Source organism: Homo sapiens, chromosome 22, assembly GCF_000001405.40.
Source record: "Homo sapiens chromosome 22, GRCh38.p14 Primary Assembly".
NCBI classification, from domain to species: Eukaryota; Metazoa; Chordata; class Mammalia; order Primates; family Hominidae; genus Homo; species Homo sapiens.
This window is the reverse complement of record NC_000022.11, coordinates 20,981,631-20,999,103: the sequence shown is the minus strand read 5'-3', so window position 1 is coordinate 20,999,103 and position 17,473 is coordinate 20,981,631. Positions and strand designations below refer to the sequence as shown.

Genomic DNA, 17,473 nt, shown 5'->3' with positions numbered 1-17,473 from the left:
GGCCTCTCCCTGCCGAGGAGCACAAATGAAATTCATTCTAGTCCCAGAAACTGCCACACAATTTCGTAAAATTTGCTTTTTAGGGCCCTTGGCATGTAATTTCATTTATTCATATAAGTCTAGATCAGGGTTCAGTGACAAGGGTCAGCATAGAGCAGGGTTGCAGACTGGTTCAAGGAGGCTTCTGGGTAGGCCCCTCCAGGAGGGATTTGGAGGAGGCTGCCCTGTGGGTGTGGCAGGAGCCACATCTTGTGGAAACTGGGTAGATGGGTGTGTGGCCCCACTCTGAGTGAATGCACCTGGCCCACATGGCTGGGCGCTGCAGCCTGCACTCCACTTCCAGGTGCTGACATATCCTCCCCAGCCATGGTCCTGGGCCTGCTGTGTCCTCACCTCAAGGGCCTCCCGGCTCAGCCTCTGCCCCAGCTCCTGCTCTCTCCTCCCTTGTTCCCAGCTCATCTTGCACTAGGCCACTTCCTAGCCTGCAGGCTGCCTATGGATCTCCTGTTAGCTAAGCAACTTGCCACTCAGGGCCCCCCACACACCTGCATACACCCAAAGGAGAGCAGGTCACTTCCCCAAGGAGCTGTGGCTTCATGGCAGCCACAACAAGAAAGGGGTCCTGGAATCCTGTTCCCAGTAAGGGAGCGCTGGCTCCCAGCACTAGAGTGGATCCACATGGGGCCCTCACTAGGGCAAGAGGGCAGCCCTCCTTCCACAGGAGCCAAGAGCATAGTGCAGGGGCAAGGCAGGGCAGAAGGGGCAGGAGCCCACCCCAGGCCTCCAGGATTCCCCTGGAAGGGGCCAGCCTGGAGGCCTTCACAGCCCTTCCCAATGTGACTGGGTGACCCCAGGTGGAGGCAGGAGTTGACAGCATGGATAGAGACAGGTAAGGCCACTGACCTACATCTGGGGGTCTGCTAAGCCATGGGCTGCTCAAGGGGCTGAAGCCAGCAGTGGTGGCCGGGCCAGCAAGGTGTGTGTGGTGGGTAGCACTGCTGTGGCTTTAATGGAGGCTTGTCTGTGACAGAATACTCAGCAAGGGACACGGGGGACTTTGCTGGCTTCTTCCCGGCCGAGCCCTGACATGCACACAGGTGGACTGGGATCCTTCAGCCCCTGTGAAAACCAGGCCTGGCCCAGCACGACCGACCTGGGAGCTGACCTCAGGGCCCTTCACTCCAAAATTCACCTCAAGTCAGGTGAGACCCATACATCATGGGTCCCCACTCACAAGTTCCAGGTGGGAAGAGGAGCCCCTTACATGGATCTCAGTGAGGGTGGGTGGGACAGGAGCAGCCCAGGCAGATTCGCTGGTGCAGCGCAAGTCTGCTAAGCCTCCTCCCGCATGTTGGAGGAGCCTTGGTGACAGGCCCCAGTGCCTGAGTCCACAACACGCCCAGGCCACAGAAGCCAGGCCAAGCCCCACTGGGTGGGAGGCCCAAAGTCTCTCCCCACTTCTGGGTGGTGAGCCCATCACTGAGCCGTGGCCTCGCATCCACACTACACCAGGAGAGGGTGATGACAGGAGGGGGTCTGCTTCATCATCCGCTCCCTGTGGGACCTGTGTCTTCAGTGAATTAATGAGTTTGGGGCCCCACATCCCCTCAGCTCTCTTTGGAGGCTCTGGGCACCCTGACCCTTGGCCTGGCAGGTGCACCCACTGCCATAGGCATGCGCATAGCCGGTAGTCTTCTCAGTAGGCAGGGCAGGCAGGCACGGCGATTCTTCACAATGGGCAGGCGCCACAGGGCCTCAGATGTCGGCGCCCAGCTCTGCGCACTGCTTGTCTGAGATGTGGGAGGCCAGGGAGTCTATGATGTCCAGCAGCAGCTGCTGGCTCAGCGACCGCAGGGTGGGCAACTTGGAGACCTGTAAGGCAAGCAGGCCGGAAGGAGATGGGACCAGATCCACCTAAGGGCCATGGTGGGCAGTGGAGCCCTGTGGGGCCTACCCTGCTCAGGGCTCAGGCTGGTCCCAAGGATGAAGCAAGGTGCGGCCAGTGATGGGCTGCTCTGCTTCTCTCACCCCCAGGGCCCACCACTGCAGGGGACCACAGAGCCTGGGCACCCTCCCTGCCTGGGCATGGCCACTGCCAAGGGGAAGCGAGTCCTGAAGGGGAGGCCAGAGCCCTGACCTTGGTGAACTGGTGCACAATGATGTGCAGGCAGTGCCGCTTCATGTCCAGTGCCTGCGTTTTGTCAGCTGCCTCCAGGATCTGCAATGGCAGGGACCTTGAGGCGCTGCCCCTTTCACCCACTCAGTGGGAGCTGCAGCCATGTGCACGGGGCTGGGGGGCTACCTGCAGCACGTTCTGCACCGTCACGTTCATCTCCAGGTTCTGCTTGCAGTACGCCTGCAGCCGGTTGTTGTAGAAGCCGTAGTAGTAGGGGGCCGCAAACAAGTAGCTGGGGCCTGGTTAAGGAGCTGACTAAAGGAAGCTGGTCCGCCCGCACCCTCCCAGGGAAGGACAGGGAAGGGCGCAGCTGGAGCCCCAAGCCCCCACGCCAGCATGCTCTCCAAATGGATTCTGAACTACTTAGTGGGTCAAAGGCCCCATTCAGGATCCAAAGAAAACCATGAATCCCCTCCCGAGAAAAATAGTGTCTGTACATCTGTAGCGCTGTTCCATGGCCTTGCAGGCCTAACAGGCATCCTGACCCTCCATGTTCAGACCCCTACTGAAGTGACATAAGGAGTACCTCCATGTCTGTGCTCAACTGTCACACAAAGCAATGACCCACCCCGTCCTCTGGGCAGTTGTGAGGGTCAGGAACCCACTGGTTCCTCCTGGCTGCAAACCCCTCCTTGCCAGCTGCCAACTGCTTCAGAGAGCACCAGGCCCAGCCCCAGGCACCAGCAAACCCTCTGGAGGGAGGCGCTGGGCCCAGATCACCTAGCTGGGGCAGGAGAGCGGGCCTCAAAGCCACCTGAGGTGGGTGCCAGGACCCCTTGGTGGGGACCTGGGAGTTCACTGGGGAGTGAGGATGCAGCGAGTCCTCGGGCGGCATGTTGACCTCGCCGTAGTAGATGTAGCGCAGCATGGACTCGAAGGCCTGCCTGCTGGGCACCATCTCCCCGATGGAGATGTTCACCTGCCCATCTTCGGGCATGAAGGACCGGAACATGGCTTCAAAGTAGCTGCAGACAACGAGCGGTAGGCACCTGGCCGTCAGCAGAACGAAGACACCATCCAGGCCCACCCTCCCCTCCTGTCCAGCCCCCACCCACCTGGAGCGGGCGGCCAGGATAGCCTTGTGGGCTGGCCGTGGGTGCCCGTCAAGCAACAGAGTGATGTCACAGAATTCCGCGCCCGCTCCCTCCAGGTATGCCTTCATGTCCTGGATCAGAGATGTGCCTGGGGGTAGGAGGGTCCCTGAGCAGGTACAGCCTGGGATTCTGGCCTTGGGGCCCCACGGCACTACCTTCCTGCATATCTGCCCATGTTGCTGCCCTGAACAAAACTTCACCCAGGCAGAAGGCCTCACTCGCCCTGAGGTACCATCAGCCACATTCTGTCCTCCCTCGGCGCCCTGGCCGACTCAAGCACTATGCCCCACGCACAGCCCACCACCCAGCGTCTCATCTTCCACCCAGCTTGCTGTACCCCCTCGCTGACCTCATGATCAAGCCCCCTCCAGGCCCACTGCATGGCCTCTGGTGCCTGCAGACATCACCAAGAGCCAGCAACCGGGGTCAGCACAAGCCCCAGGGAGAGCTGGGGGAATGAAGGGGCCTGTGACATTACAAGCAAAGAGAAGTCCAGAGACTGATCACCGTGACCCTGGGCCATCAGACCTGACATCCTAGCCCGAAAGAGGTGCCCCATGTCCACCCCCAGAAATTGGCTCAGGAAATCCCAGGTCACCAGGACACAGCCCACTGTGGCAAGCCCCATGGGTCGGGGGCTTCTGCCTTCATCTGTTTCCTCCCTGTACCCAGGAGAGCACTCTGGGGTCCCATGGCACCCACCCCCACCCCGAGGGCCTGGCAGGTGCTCTCCATGGCTCCCAATCTCCTACCGCAGATGAACACCATCCCTCCCAGCCCCCAGGGAAGGGGAACGGGGCTCCCTACCAATGTCCACTGGCTGGTCCAAGGGAGTGCGAGGGGGCGGCTGCTGCTTCCGCCGCACAATCTCCACTATCAGTGGAGAGGAGAGGCGCTCGAACTCCTTCATCATGATCACCTGGTTGAAGTGGGACTCCTTTACCACGAAGTTCAGGCAGTGCTCCTGGGGCAGACAGGCACAGGCAGGCAGGCAGAGTCAAGCCAGGGCCCCAGGCTGGGCGAGGGGCTCACAGTGGTGGGCAGGGAGGGGGCCTAAGCCTGAGCACACCCCACCCAACCCTGATTGCGCTGACCCCACCCCACACCTTGAGTTGGCTCAGCTGCAGCCGGGCGGCACTCTCGCACACAACCAGCACGTTCTGCAGGTCCACGGAGGCCTCGATGTACTGGCGGCACAGCTGCTCCAGGCGGCACAACTGGAAGCTCAGTGCCAGTTTGTACACATCCATGATGAGCAGCACATCCTCCACATGGCCTGCGCCCCAGAGCCCCCGAATCTCAGGGAGCCGGAGAGGGGAGGGCAGGGCACAGGGCGCAGGGCTCCCCCCATGGAAGAGTGTGGGCTGGGGCCACTAGGTAGGAACAAGGCCTCGGGGGACTCAGATGGCGTCCAGCTGCAGTGATCATGGGTAAGGAGGGTGACCTGCAGCCTCTGAGCCTCAGGGGGCCCATCAGTAAGGCAGGGCTGGCAGCACCCACCTTTTGGCTCTGCTGCCCGCACCCCAGCCCACACCAACCCTGCTCCACCCCCACCCAGGCGGACCTTTCCGTGGGTATTTGATCTTGTCGGTGTAGAGGAACTGCATGAGCACCTCGAAGGGCCGGGCCTCGGCCTCCCGGATGGCCACGTGCAGCAGGGGCGGCCGGGCCCCACCAGCAGCCACGCCGGGGGCCTCCCTGGGAACTGGGGCGGCCTCCTGCTCCAGCTTCTGTGGGGAGAAGGGAGCTCAAGGACACCCCAGTGGACACCAGGCATGGCTGCCAGGTCAGGGCAGGGCGGTTAGGCACCTCACCTGGGCCAGCCTCTCCCGCGCCTGCGTGATCTTCCTGCGAAGCCAGCGGCTCCGCGCTGTGACAATGGCTACGTGGCCCTGCACGCACTCCTCCTTCTGCACAAAGAATGATGCACTGGCAGAGGGCACAGGACCCTCGCCCCAGAGAACAGAGACCCAGCCAGCCAAGGTCAGCACCACCAGGCCAGCAGCTGTTTTTCTGAGGGGCGAAATTCCCACTGCCCAGGCACAGCAGGCAGAGCAGGGTGCGAGGACAGGCACCCACCTCACCCAGCACGAACTCCACGTCGCAGAACTGGCGGCTCTCCCACAGCCGCCCGTAGTCCTCGTGCAGCGTGCATTTAGGGTAACAGGAGAACTGCAAGAGGGGCCCAGTGAGACTAGATGTTGCAGACAGCAGGGTGGCCCCAGTGTGGCTGTGCAGGCCGACCCTGAGGTCCCCACCTGGCCCATGCTGACCCTCAGGGCCCAGGAGGCAGGTGGGCCTGGCTGAGGAGAGGAAGCAGCCGCTACCCCACCCTGAAAATACAGCCTGGCTCCAGCCTCAGCACCTGCAACTGTCCACGGCCGGCTCCACAGCAGGAAAGGGCTCCCCTGCCTCTCTTGCCTTCGGCTGGGCCCCAGGCCTCAGCAGAGCTCTGCCGTCTCCACTCTGCCTGGACCTGCGTCCTCACACTGGCCCCCACCAGCACATCCCAACCTCCTCCAGGAAGCTGGCCCTGACCTCACTGTGGCTGTGAGTCCCTGCCCTGACCACCTGCTCCTCCAGGCCTGGGAAGGGGCTGTCAACGCAAGCCACTGTCGGCCCTGGCTCTGCCCTGGGCCAGGCTATGATGCCTGTGAGGCTCTGGTGCTGAGCCCAGCTTGGCCCGGCTCCCTCCACTGACTCTGCCGTGAGCCCCAGCACCATCTGCCTGCCCCACTGCACGAAGGCTGCCCACTTTAGTGCCACCTCAGCCCACCCTCAGCCCACAGGGCTCCTCCCAAGGCTTCCATCCTGCCAGGTGTGGCCCTGGCAATGGCCTGGATAAGCCCTGCCCCCCAACTTGGCCTCAGTTTCTCATCACGGGGGATCCGTCCACCCAGCCGGCTCTACAGGCCCACAGGCCCCACACCTGGAACCTGTACATCTCCCCGCTGCGGATGTTGTTGTCCACCGTGCCCCCGAAGATGTACATGGCGTCCGAGATGACAGCAGCCGCGTGGAAGAGCCTCCCACTGGGCAGCTGGGGGACAAGAAGGCAGGGTGGAATGGTGGGGGAGCAGAGCCTCCACAGTGCGGCTGGTGCAGCCAGGTAAGGCAAGGATGCGGCACCTCATGGCCATGAAGGGCCAGGGGGCAGGGTCCCCAAGGGATGAGGGCCCCTGGGTACAGACACAGGTGGGACCTGGTACCCATGTAGGCGAGTGGGGCATGACGGGCCATGGAGACCCTCAGAGTGGTCAGGGCACTTGGGCCAGTGTGTGGCACCCACCCCAGAAAGCTGCAGCCTGGCCAGCAGGGTGAGGGCCCTTGGCCCTGTACCCCCTTTGTGGTGTGACCCCAAGCAAGTATTTCTCGGGGCCTCAGTCTCCCCATGTGTGAGAGGTGTTGATCACAGGACCTGTTTCAGGGGGTGATGGAGTCTTAATGAGGATCCCAGCCTGTACCTCCGAGGCAGGCTGGGTGGGCTGCTTGGCTGAGGTGGTGCCAAAGTCCAGGCCAAACACATCTCGGGACTTCTTGAAGCCAACCCGCTCCTCATAGGTCAGGGTGGGCACCTCCTCGGAAGCACAGGCTCGCTCGGGCACTTCAGCCCCACCAACCTGAAGAGGGGAGACACATGGGCATGAGACCAGTTGGCAAGGGCCAGGTAGGTGCCCAGAGACCCCCACCATCCTGGCCTTGAGAGTGGGTTCTGAAAGAAGGAAGAGCTGCATGGCCGTGGGCTTCCCAGGAAAGGTCTGCAGCACAGCAGCCCCATGCAGCCATGATGGGGTGTGAAGCGTTAACTACCTGCAGGCTGTGGGGTGAAGCTGGGGCTGGAGGCCGGGGCAGGTGTCCAGGGCTGAGGCCCAGGTGTCCTGGCCTTGCTCCTGGTAGCTGTCTGGAACCCCAGGGGGCCCCAAAGCTGTGAGGAGCTGGGTGGGAGCAGGGTAGGAGCTACTGGTGTCCAGCTGGCAGGTCAGGACACCCCTGGGCACCCTCACCTCGCTGTCGGAGCTGGGCTGGACGACCTCCCAGGTCTGGAAGTCCACGTCATAGCAGTGCAGCTCGTTGGGCAGCGTGTTGTCGGCCGCACCCCCAAACACATAGAGGTGGCGGTCAAAGGCCACCATGGTATGCCCGTAGCGCCGCTGCGGGGGTGGTGGGGAGCCCCGGAGCAGGTGTTCAGTTGGGATGCGTGTCCACCTGGGGGTACACAACAGTGAATCAATGCTGGGACAGGGGCTCCTGCTCACCCTCGGGGCCTCCCCACAGCAGGCCTTCACTGGGAGGTCCCCCTGCATCCCTTACGGTGACTAGCCCAGGGTCCAGAGGGAGGGCCTAGACACCTGCGCTGAGCACCTCTCACCCCATCCAGCACGGGCACCAGCCCTGCCTGGCTCCATGTGGCCCACCGCAGGGTCCTGCCAGAGCTCCCCCCTCTCCCCATGGAGCAGGCAGCAGTGATGGGCAGGAGGGTGGCATCTGACCCGCCCAGGCAGTCCTGCTCTCTGGGGAGTAAAGTTGTGCAGAGACCATTGCAGGTCACTGTGTTCACGCTGCCCAGTCAGAGCATCCCCACAGCTGAGTCCCCATCCTGGGAGCTGCCTGTACCCCACATCCTGATGCTGCCCCAGCACCTTCCACCTCCCAGGCTTCCCAGTACCTCCCAGCAAGTCCTCTCTTTTGCTAAGTTAGCTGAAGACTTCAGAACAGATCCTGGCCTGGCAGGGCTATGCCATCTGGCTCCATGCTGAGCCCCAGGCCCTTGACAATTTCCCTCATCCTGGGGCTCCCTGCCCTTCCTCCCACGCACCCGTGGCCTCCAGGGAAGCTCCCAAGTCCCTTCCCAAACCCCCTGTACCTGCAGCTCACACTCCTTGTGCCCTCTCCTGCAGCCCCATTGCAGGGATCAAGGGCTGGCCAGCAGCCAGGGGCAGCATGGGCCAGACCTCTCAGGACCTGCAGGCCCCTCTGGTCTTCTGCCATTATTTGAGATCTATGCAGGCCACGTCTGTTACTGGTGGCACTGACCAAGCTATTCACGAGGAAGGGGACGTCCTTCACGTTCAGAGGGAGGCCTAGCCAGGGGCCTCCTCGCCAGGCCTTATCTTGCTAAGCTGTAGCCATATCCTGGGGACCTGCCAGGGGCACCGCACATCCCTGCTCCGGGCTGTAACCTCCTGCTGTTTGCAGAGCTCACAAGGATGGTTACCATGGCCACCAGGTGCAAGAGGCGTTCTTCATATTCAGAAGGATTCGAGGGAACTGACCGTCCTCCCTCCACCCCACTGGCCAGAGTACTCACGTCTTGTCCTTGAATTCAAACTGGAAGAGGTTGTTGGTTATTTTGGCTCCGCTTTGCCCAGAGAATACAAACATCTTGTCCCGGCACACAGCCACGGGGAAGTTGCAGCAAGATGGGGGGATCTCGCCACTCTGGGCCACCTGCAGGGGGAGAGGACAGCTCAGCCCCGGCCTCACAGGGCCCGCTCACATTTCACCACACTCGAGACTGCTGAGATGGGACTGCTTTTATTCTTGAAACTTCCCCAGATGAGGATTCACAGATTCCTTTGTCTTGGAACAGCTCATAGCCCTGTCTCATCCACTTCACGGGGCCCAGTTGTGAACAGCTGGGGTTAAAATCGTCAGGGTTAAATCATCAGGGGCTAAACTCATGTTTTTCATGCCCAGAAGACTGAAAAACAATTTTTTTTAATGAATAAATAAATAAATTCCATGTTTCTAAAGGGGAAAGCAAGCCCAGGGGGAGCTCCAGGGAGCAGGACACTGGATAGCAGACGGCCCTCACTGCACTGAAATAAAGGGTGCGTTAAAGCAAAACCACATCCTCACACACGTGGCACTCTGCCCATCCAAAGCACCAAACCTCGAATCACTGTGCAGCCACAGTGAGGAACTGGTCGTGAAGGCCCGCAGGTCACCAGGGAGGAGAGCGAGGCTCAGGTCGAGGCTGGGCTTTGCAAGGGGAAGAAAGCAGCCTCGACCCCCAGCCTGGCTCCCCCTGCCTCCCACCTCCCTCCACCTGCACCCTGTCTCCCCATGCCCCTCACCTCCTCCACCTGCGCCCTGGCTCCCCGTGCCCCTCACCTCCTCTACCTGCGCCCTGGCTCCCCACGCCCCTCACCTCCTCCCAGCAGGTGAGCTCTCGGTCCTGGAGGCCAATTGTCCACATGTCATTCAACCTGTATTAGGACAGACCAGTGAGGACCCCTTGGGTCTGGTGGTCAGGGTGGGCCTAGTCCTGGCTGGAAGGGATGGCTGCAGGGAGGAGCCCCACCCCCACACAGGGTAGGAGACTTGTGCGGCCATGAGGCGGGAACTTCTGTGTGGGGTGGCAGCCACTGCCTCAAATCCCTGCTGTGCCAGGCCCCCTGCCCGGCCCAGACAGAACAAGTACTCTCATGCATGACATCAGGGCAGTGTGGCAGTGCCAGCTCCTCACTCAGTGTCCCTCCTGGGTGGGGAGAGGACACAGATATCCCAGATGCCACCATCACTGCATCGTTAGGAGTTTCTATGATGCTGAAGTTTTGGGAAACCAGCATATGCTACTTTTGTGATCAGAAAAAGAGAGCAAAGCCAACTTTCTAAAATAAGGAGGAAAAGGCCTTTGGCCTGGGCAAGAACCAGGGCTGGGCCTGAGCCTGGGCACCGCCCACCCGCCCACCAACTCAGCTCCGCAGGGCAACTCCTGGCTGAGGATCCTCATCCAAGCTACTCTGGTAGCCACGGGGCTCCACCCAGTGGCCCTCACCTCCATCTGTCCATCCTCCTCTTTCCCCATCCCCCTCCCAAGAAACCCCCAGACAGAGTGGCACTCAAAATCCACCAGGCACTCAAAATCCTCCCAGCCTAAGCCCTCAAATGCCAGGACGGCCTGCTCCGGGTCTCAGTGCTGTCGGAGGTGGGGTGCACAGGCCGGACCACCACCCACCTGGCGTTGCCGTCATAGCCAGCAAAGATCCACAGCTTGTCACTGTACACCGTGGCCCCATGGGCTGACCTAGCGACTGGCAACCTGGAGTGTGAGGGAAGAGGGGAGGGAGTGAGGCCGCCCAGCACAGACCTGAGCCACCCAGCCCCATGTGGTCAGTGCAGGGGCCACAGCCAGGCTGCATGGCTACATCCACCCGACACTGGGGCTTCAGGACCTCCACAAGGCACTAGGAATAAACAACAGCCCCAGAGGCCGACTAGTGGCTTGAAGAGGAATTCAGACAGCCACAGAGGCACAGAACCTTCTCCTAGGTGCCCCCAAAATATCAAAGGGGGTGCTCAAAAAGCGGGACCCCAGAAGCGCCATCAGCAGTACATTGGATCTTATTGAACATTTTTTTGTGACAAGGTCTTGTTCTGTCTCCCAGGCTGGAGTGCAGTGGGGCACACATGGTTCACTGCAGCCTTGAAGTCATGGGCTCAAGTGATCTTCCCACCTCGGCTTCCCAAAGTACTAGGACTACAGGCATGCGCCACCACGCCTGGTCCATTTGGGTCTCTTCTGAAAGGAGGGAGTCTAAGGGCTGGGAGCAGGCCATGCATAGCTGCACCGGGGGATATTCCACCAATCCCAAGCTCCCTGCTATTGCGTGCCCTCAGGGTCCTCATCTGGGAGGCAAAAGGGGGCAGATCCCAGGTCCAATGCCACCCAGGACCCAGCCTGTCCCAAATGTTTCTGCAAAGTTTCTCACCGTCCTTCAATTTTCCACTCCGTCCACTGGCCAGTTGCAAACTTGTATTCAAAGAGGTCGTTTTTATTCTTCAAGTTAGAATTGGAATAAATGTCCCCAGTGTAACCCCCTGAGTAAAGAGAGTGAGAAACTGTCAAACCCAAAGGGCAGTCTTGGAGATTTCAAACCCTGGAAGGTGGAGCAGAATCTGGCCCCCCTGAAAATGCATAAGCCAGGACTCCTTCCACAAGCCCCGGAACGACCTGCTGCCTGTCTGCCTCTGTGCTGGGCTCTGGGGACACAGAGATGAGCAGGACACTGTTCCCAGCCACAGCTCAGTAACACAGAAAGACACCCAACCCTGTGAGCTCAGGGCCGTTAGGGCAAGGGGTCCCAGATCCAGCGCAGAATTCCGAAGACTGGCAGACAAAGCCACGGGTGGAGAGAGAGCCCCTGCTGTACACAGCACGAGCACAAATGCCCCAGGCCTGCAGAAGGGCAGGGTGTCTGTGGGCCTCGGGGCGACACAGCCCCTGGGAGGCAAGAGGCTGCTTACCAAAGACAAACATGCTGCTCCCATAGACGACGGCCGAGTGGTGGTAACGGGGGGCCGGTGGGGTCCCAGTGGTAAAGGCCCTGGGGTGGGCACAGGGGTGGTGAGAGTCAGCGGGGGTCACCCATGAGGTCCACACCCCCACAGGGTGGCCCTGCATCCCTGTGCTGCCTTTCTTTTTTCTTTTTTTTTTTTTTTGAGACGGAGTCTCTCTCTGTCGTCCCGGCTGGAGTGCAGTGGCACGATCCCGGCTCAACCTCCACCTCCTGGGTTCAAGCGATTGTCCTGCCTCAGCCTCCTGAGTAGCTGGGATTACAGGCACCCACCATCATGCCCAGCTAATTTTTTGTATTTTTGTAGAGACGGGGTTTCACCATGTTGGCCAGGCTGGTCTTGAAGTTCTGACCTCAGGTGATCCGCCCACCTCAGCCTCCCAAAGTGCTGGGATTACAGGCGTGAGCCACCGCGCCCAGCTACGTTTCACTTTTGTATTTTGAAGGTGATACCTGTCTCATCATAGAAACTTAAAAAAAAAAAATCACCAATAAGGAAAAAACAAAATAGGCACTAAAGCTCATGCAAATTCCCATTACCAGAAAACCTCTGGCAACACCTTGAGGTCTTCCCTGCACACCTCTCCTACGCATACTTAGGCTTCCATGAAATTTTTTAAAATGGAATCAAGTGGCAGATATTTTGTAAATTGCTTATTCCACTCACAGAATGTGACCAGGTCCTCATGCTACTCCAGGACCATCCACACTCCTGCTCTCAGCAGCAGTGCAGCATCTTACAGCACGGGGTCCATCAATTTCATTTAATACCTATCTATCTAACCATCATCTATCTATCTACCTATCATCTATCAATCATCTAATCTATATAATCTATATATCCATCATCTATCCACCTATCATCTACCTATATAATCTATCCATCATCTATCTGTCATCTATCATCTATCTACCTATCATCTATCATCTATTGTCTGTCATCTATCTACCCATCATCTATCTAATCTACCTACCTATCATCTACCTATCATCTATCTATCGATCTGTCATCTATCATCTATCCACTATCTATCTATCTGTCATCTATCTGTCTAATCTACCTATCATCTATCTATCATCTCTCTTTGTCTTTCTATCATCTATCTATCTTTCTTTCTATCTATCTATCTATCTATCTATCTATCTATCTATCTATCATCTGTCTATCTATCTTCCTAGACAGGGTCTCACTTTGTTGCCCAGCTGGTCTTGAACTCCTAGCTTTTTTCTGAGTTTTATACTTAAGCAATTTTTGACAAATAATTGTGAAGCCTTCAGAATGATTTTTTAAATTAATTTGTAACTACTAGCCATCTTACAAAATCAAGTGTGAGAGAAAAGACATAGCAACTTCTGTACCCATACTAGCATCAGCCTCGAGGTAGAGGTGGACAGCCCAGAAGGGTGCCGCCCTGTGTGCCCAGCTTGGCAGCTGCAGGTGCGGGGTGGTTACTTGATCTCCTCAGCCTGACAGGGCGGCTCTGGATGTGGCATCCCTGAGGCCGTGGTTATCTCCTCCTGGAAGCTTCTTTCTAGCTTCCCATGATGAGAGAGACTCTGCTAGCAACTGGGACCCAGCACTGTGCCACTGTGTTCTAGGAGGAAAGGCAGGGCCCTGGAGCACGGGGCCACCCACCTGCACCAGGAGCAGTCTTTCACATCGAACCGCAGGAGGTCATTGAGCATGGTCTTCCTGAAAGGCAGCCGGAAGAGAGGGTGGCATTAGCCAGGTCTACTCTGCAGTGACCCCAGAGATGGGCACTGCATGTAGCCAGGGTAGAGTAGGGGGCTGTTGTGGGCTGGGTCACTAACACAGCCAGGCAACCAGCTGATGCCCAAGAACAAGAGTGGTGACCACAAAGGAGGCTCCCCAACTGATATGGGCACCAGGGCTGCCACACAGGCAGACACCAGCCTGCCTGGGGTCAGGACCAAAGCATGAATGTGGCCACCAGGAGCCCAACCAGCAGCTGACATGAAGGCATGAAATGGCCCAAAGGCCAGAGTCACCCTCACACCTCACCCTAGCCTCCAGAACCCCTATTCACACGTCCCAATCCCCTTCCTCTGCAGCTGTACCCTGCAATGCAAGTGCTTGCCCGTGCCTCAGGAGAGGCCCTTTGCTTCTCTCTGATCTTCCTGCCACTTCTTAAAAAAAAGAAATAGAGACAATGGGCTGGGCTCGGTGGCTCACGCCTGTAATCCCAGCACTTTGGGAAGCCTAGGCGGGCGGATCACTTGAGGTCAGGAGATTGAGACCAGCCTGGCCAACATGGTGAAACCCCATCTCTACTAAAAATACAAAAAAATTAGCCTGGCATGGTGGCAGGCGCCTGTAATCCCAGCTACTCGGGAGGCTGCGGCAGAATCGCTTGAACCCGGGAGGCAGAGGTTGCAGTGAGCCAAGATGGCGCCACTGAACACCAGCCTGGGTGACAGAGCAAGACTCCATCTCAAAAAAAAAAAAAAAAAAATAGAAACGAAGTCTTGCTTTCCTGCCCAGGCTCGTCTTGAATGCCTGGCCTCAAGTGATCTTCCCACCTCAGCCTCCCAAAGTGCTGGGATTACAGGTGTGAGCCACTGCACCTGGCCCCTGCCATTTCTTTGTTGCAAAAGCCATACAATCAAATAGAAAACAAATTCACTGGCCATTGCACCACCTAACACTACCAGCTGGCATATCACTACCCAGCCCTTGGGAAGAAGGGCAAACTGACAGGAGCCCAGTGCCCCGTCATGCCCAGCCTGTGCTGGGTGCCCCCTGAACGGTCTCACTTAGTCTGCACCAGTGGGTGCTCTCTCACCTCCATTTCACAGATGGCAACAAAGCCTAGTGGCTCAAAGGCTGTGTCTGAGGCCATGCAGCCAGGAAGCCAGGAGCCTAGAAGCTGGTGGTGATTGTGATACCGCCCCCCCCCCCTCCTTACTTGCCCCACGTGCCGCAGGAGGCCATCTTTCTTTGTACTCAGGCAGTCTTTATAAAGTTAAGACTAGTGTGAGACAAATTTGTATCCTATTTCTTTGTCATACTGCAGCAAAAATGTTTCTGCTTATTGCTACACAGTTGTCACACAAACTACCTGCTAAGGACACTCTTGAGGATGAAGGTCCCCCATTTCCCACTTGCTGCCTTGTACTGGACACTAAAGCCCTTTCTGGTTTGGAGGGTTCTCATTAAGGCTGCAGTAAATGCTTGTGGGTAGGCATCTCTTCTTCATTTCATTCCTTCATTTGACAAACATTTATGGAGTTTTCTAGATGCCAGGATACAATGGTAAAAGGAGCACAGGCCCTGCCTTGACTGAAGAGATGGATAATAACCAACATCTGTGTGCCTCAGGAACAAATGAAGATGGTAAGAGGTATGGAGGGGAAGCAATGGTCTCCAGTTGGTCCAGATGGCCAAGTAAGGCCTCAGTCACAAGAAACATCAGAGGAGGGGCAGGAAGGTGAGAGGAGAGAATGGGCAGTGCAAGGGCCTGAGCAGGGGGGCACTTGGTACAATCCAAACATAGCAAGGCAGCCCGTGCCGCCCCAGTGCAGTGAGGGACTGAGGGCAGAGGAGCAGCAGACTCTCATGAGGACTTGGGCTTTTACTCAGAGAGGCAGGGAGGCATTACAGGAGGATGAGCCAAGGAGGAGCATACTCTGACTTGCTTTTGTAAATGGGCCCCACCGGCTACTCCTGGGGAAAGAGAGTGGGAGGAAGACAGGCTTGAAGCCAGGGGACCATGCCCAAGGAGGCTCTTCTGCCCAGTATGCAGATCCTGGTGGGGTCCAGACTACCCCACCATCCTCAAGCCCGCCCCCCAAGGAGGCCTACAGGACCAAGGCTGCAGAGCCAGTAAGAGGCCAGACCTTCCAGGGCTTCATGCTAGTTCCTGGGGCTGAGAGGCAGGGCTAGGACACATGGACACAACTAGTCATGTGCAAATACTCCACCCTCTGCATAAGGAAACCAGCCACAACTTAAGTGGAGACAGTTTATGTGAAAGGAGGTGTGCCCACCAACAAAACATCACGTTGTTGCCTGATGTTTGGAGCAATTTGGGAAAACCCCCACAAAAAGTGAAAAATGCATGAAATAAATAAAACTGTGTCCTCCATACCGATGAGGCACAGGGAAAGAAAAGTGCCTGGCAGGGCTGGCCGCAAGGGTGGTTGTGTTTCTTTCAAGGCTGCATCTACTCAGAAGAGGGACATTTCCACATACTGAGCATGTGCCACCCACTGGAAGCTGTGCTGAGGACCATGAGTGCAGGATCTCATTTAATCCTCACCACGACCAGGGAGGTGAGTGCAAGGAATCTCACAGATGGGGAAACTGAAGCTTAGAGGCACCAGCTAGCATCTGAAAGGACAGTAATGGAGCTGGACAGGCCCAGTCCCTGACCACAGTACTTCTCCCTACCTGGTCCAAACACTGATGCTGAGACTCACTCACCCATTGTCTCCACCAAATACATAAATGGCATCTTTATAGGCCACCACTGTGTGCTTGCTGCGCCTGGAAAGAAAGGAGTGGAGGGCGGTAAGGACAGGACCCTCCTGGGGGGCACCCAAGGAATGGGACTAAGCAGGAGAGCTGCCACGGAAGTTAGGTATCACCTCTCAACTGCTAAGATCCATCATCTTCTAAGATAACACCAATCATCCTGCAAGTGAGGACCCCTGACACGGCTCCAGGACTCTCTGGACTCCTCACCCCACCTCAGAGCACCTGGGACCCCAGCCCAATATCCACAAACACAACTTAGTTCCAGTACCCTGTCCCGGGACATCGGGCTCTGGGACTCCCTCGGAACCCTCTCCCCTGCCCTGAACAGCGTCCTGTACAGCACCATCCACCTCATTACCAGATCCTACCCCAGGACACCACCCCCCGGCTTCGCCCCTGGACCCGCCCTGGGACCCTCGCAGATCGCCCTTCCTGTCCTCAGGACCCCATGAAGCCCACCGTACCGGGCACCCACGAACTCGTCGCAGGGCGGGAGGCGCCGCCAGCGATGCACTGTTTCGAAGGGCCCGAAGTTGAGCGTCAGGTACTCGACACTGTCCGAGCAGCTATGGTCGAAGTCCACGCTCGGGGCTACCTTGGACCGCGCGCCGCCTGCCAGGGCCGCAGCCCCGATCTGCCCCCCCGTGCTGCCCGGTCCAGCCATCCCGGGTCCACGCCGGATCGGCCGCGCTGTAAGCCCAACTTGCGGCCACCGCCCCGGGCCGGCTGGAGAAACCACATTTCCCGGCGAGCCCTGCGCTGACGGTGCGGCACGTCCGGCCAGCGCCGCACTTGCGCCCTCCAGCTCTTCCCGACAAGCCTACCGCTTGCCGAGACACCGCGGGCGAGCGCAGGATGCGGTTGTCGACCGCGCGGCGAGCGTGGGACCTTCTGGGGAGCGTTTCAGGCTATGTACTGGCGCTGCGTTGTCCCTTCCAGTGAATGCAGTGTGTCGTCCCTAGCCCCGTCGCGACTGCTCTTCCCGGCGCCTCCCAGGCCCACGCAGCCCGAAGACCCGCGGCCGGCTCGCAGTTCCCGGCATGCCCTGGGTCTGCGCGTGGCTCCGGCCTGGATCGTCTGCCGCTGCCGGGATCCCCCATGGAGGGTTCCGGGCTCGCAGCGGCCTCTGCAGGCGGCTCAACGCTCCCTTTCCTGCTAGCGCCCTCAGCCCTGACCCCCAGCAACTCCCCTCTCCCCTTGGCTTTCTTACTGACTGAGAGGCAGCCCGGCGAGGAGCCTCTGGATTCTCATTCCTACTTAGCAGGGCCTCAGCTCCTTCACCTCCGACATGGGGATTGAGAATGCTCCGGCTATGAAAAGCATGGGGTCTGTCTCAGGACACAGCTCCCACAGCCCTAAGTGGGCAAATGCCCCAAAGTGTCAAGCATGAGCCACCTCTGAAGGA

At 58.5% G+C, this 17,473-nt stretch overlaps 1 protein-coding gene across 1 annotated transcript, besides 3 other annotated features; it reads right to left on the bottom strand.

Moving 5' to 3' along the window:
• On the bottom strand, positions 72-16,807 carry LZTR1 (leucine zipper like post translational regulator 1). The gene is made up of 21 exons (NM_006767.4): positions 16,533-16,807; positions 16,015-16,077; positions 13,207-13,263; positions 11,521-11,600; positions 10,986-11,094; positions 10,232-10,315; positions 9,422-9,479; positions 8,579-8,718; positions 7,275-7,476; positions 6,735-6,890; positions 6,200-6,310; positions 5,350-5,442; positions 5,085-5,180; positions 4,835-5,000; positions 4,377-4,546; positions 4,078-4,234; positions 3,232-3,358; positions 2,992-3,141; positions 2,303-2,408; positions 2,138-2,218; positions 72-1,872 (listed from the first exon to the last, which is right to left on the bottom strand). The coding sequence occupies exons 1-21, from the start codon at positions 16,730-16,732 to the stop codon at positions 1,756-1,758; spliced, it is 2,523 nt and encodes an 840-aa protein (NP_006758.2). The 5' UTR covers positions 16,733-16,807; the 3' UTR covers positions 72-1,755.
• Positions 16,610-16,739: a silencer, noted in NCBI's record as "silent region_13504". NCBI's record gives its function as "represses an Ori minimal core promoter by ATAC-STARR-seq in GM12878 lymphoblastoid cells {active_cell/tissue: GM12878}" and the evidence as "EXISTENCE:reporter gene assay evidence [ECO:0000049][PMID:35858748]".
• Positions 17,130-17,229: an enhancer, noted in NCBI's record as "active region_18693". NCBI's record gives its function as "activates an Ori minimal core promoter by ATAC-STARR-seq in GM12878 lymphoblastoid cells {active_cell/tissue: GM12878}" and the evidence as "EXISTENCE:reporter gene assay evidence [ECO:0000049][PMID:35858748]".
• Positions 17,280-17,359: an enhancer, noted in NCBI's record as "active region_18692". NCBI's record gives its function as "activates an Ori minimal core promoter by ATAC-STARR-seq in GM12878 lymphoblastoid cells {active_cell/tissue: GM12878}" and the evidence as "EXISTENCE:reporter gene assay evidence [ECO:0000049][PMID:35858748]".

Bases quoted from the DNA above. Each gene is read 5' to 3' on its own strand.
- LZTR1 (NM_006767.4), bottom strand. From the start codon at position 16,732: ATGGCTGGACCGGGCAGCACGGGGGGGCAGATCGGGGCTGCGGCCCTG. The intron at 11,601-13,206 runs GTGGGTGGCCCC...TGCCCACCCCAG, and splicing joins AAAGACTGCTCCTGGTGCAG to GGCCTTTACCACTGGGACCC. The intron at 10,316-10,985 runs GTGAGAAACTTT...CTCACACTCCAG, and splicing joins GAGTGGAAAATTGAAGGACG to GTTGCCAGTCGCTAGGTCAG.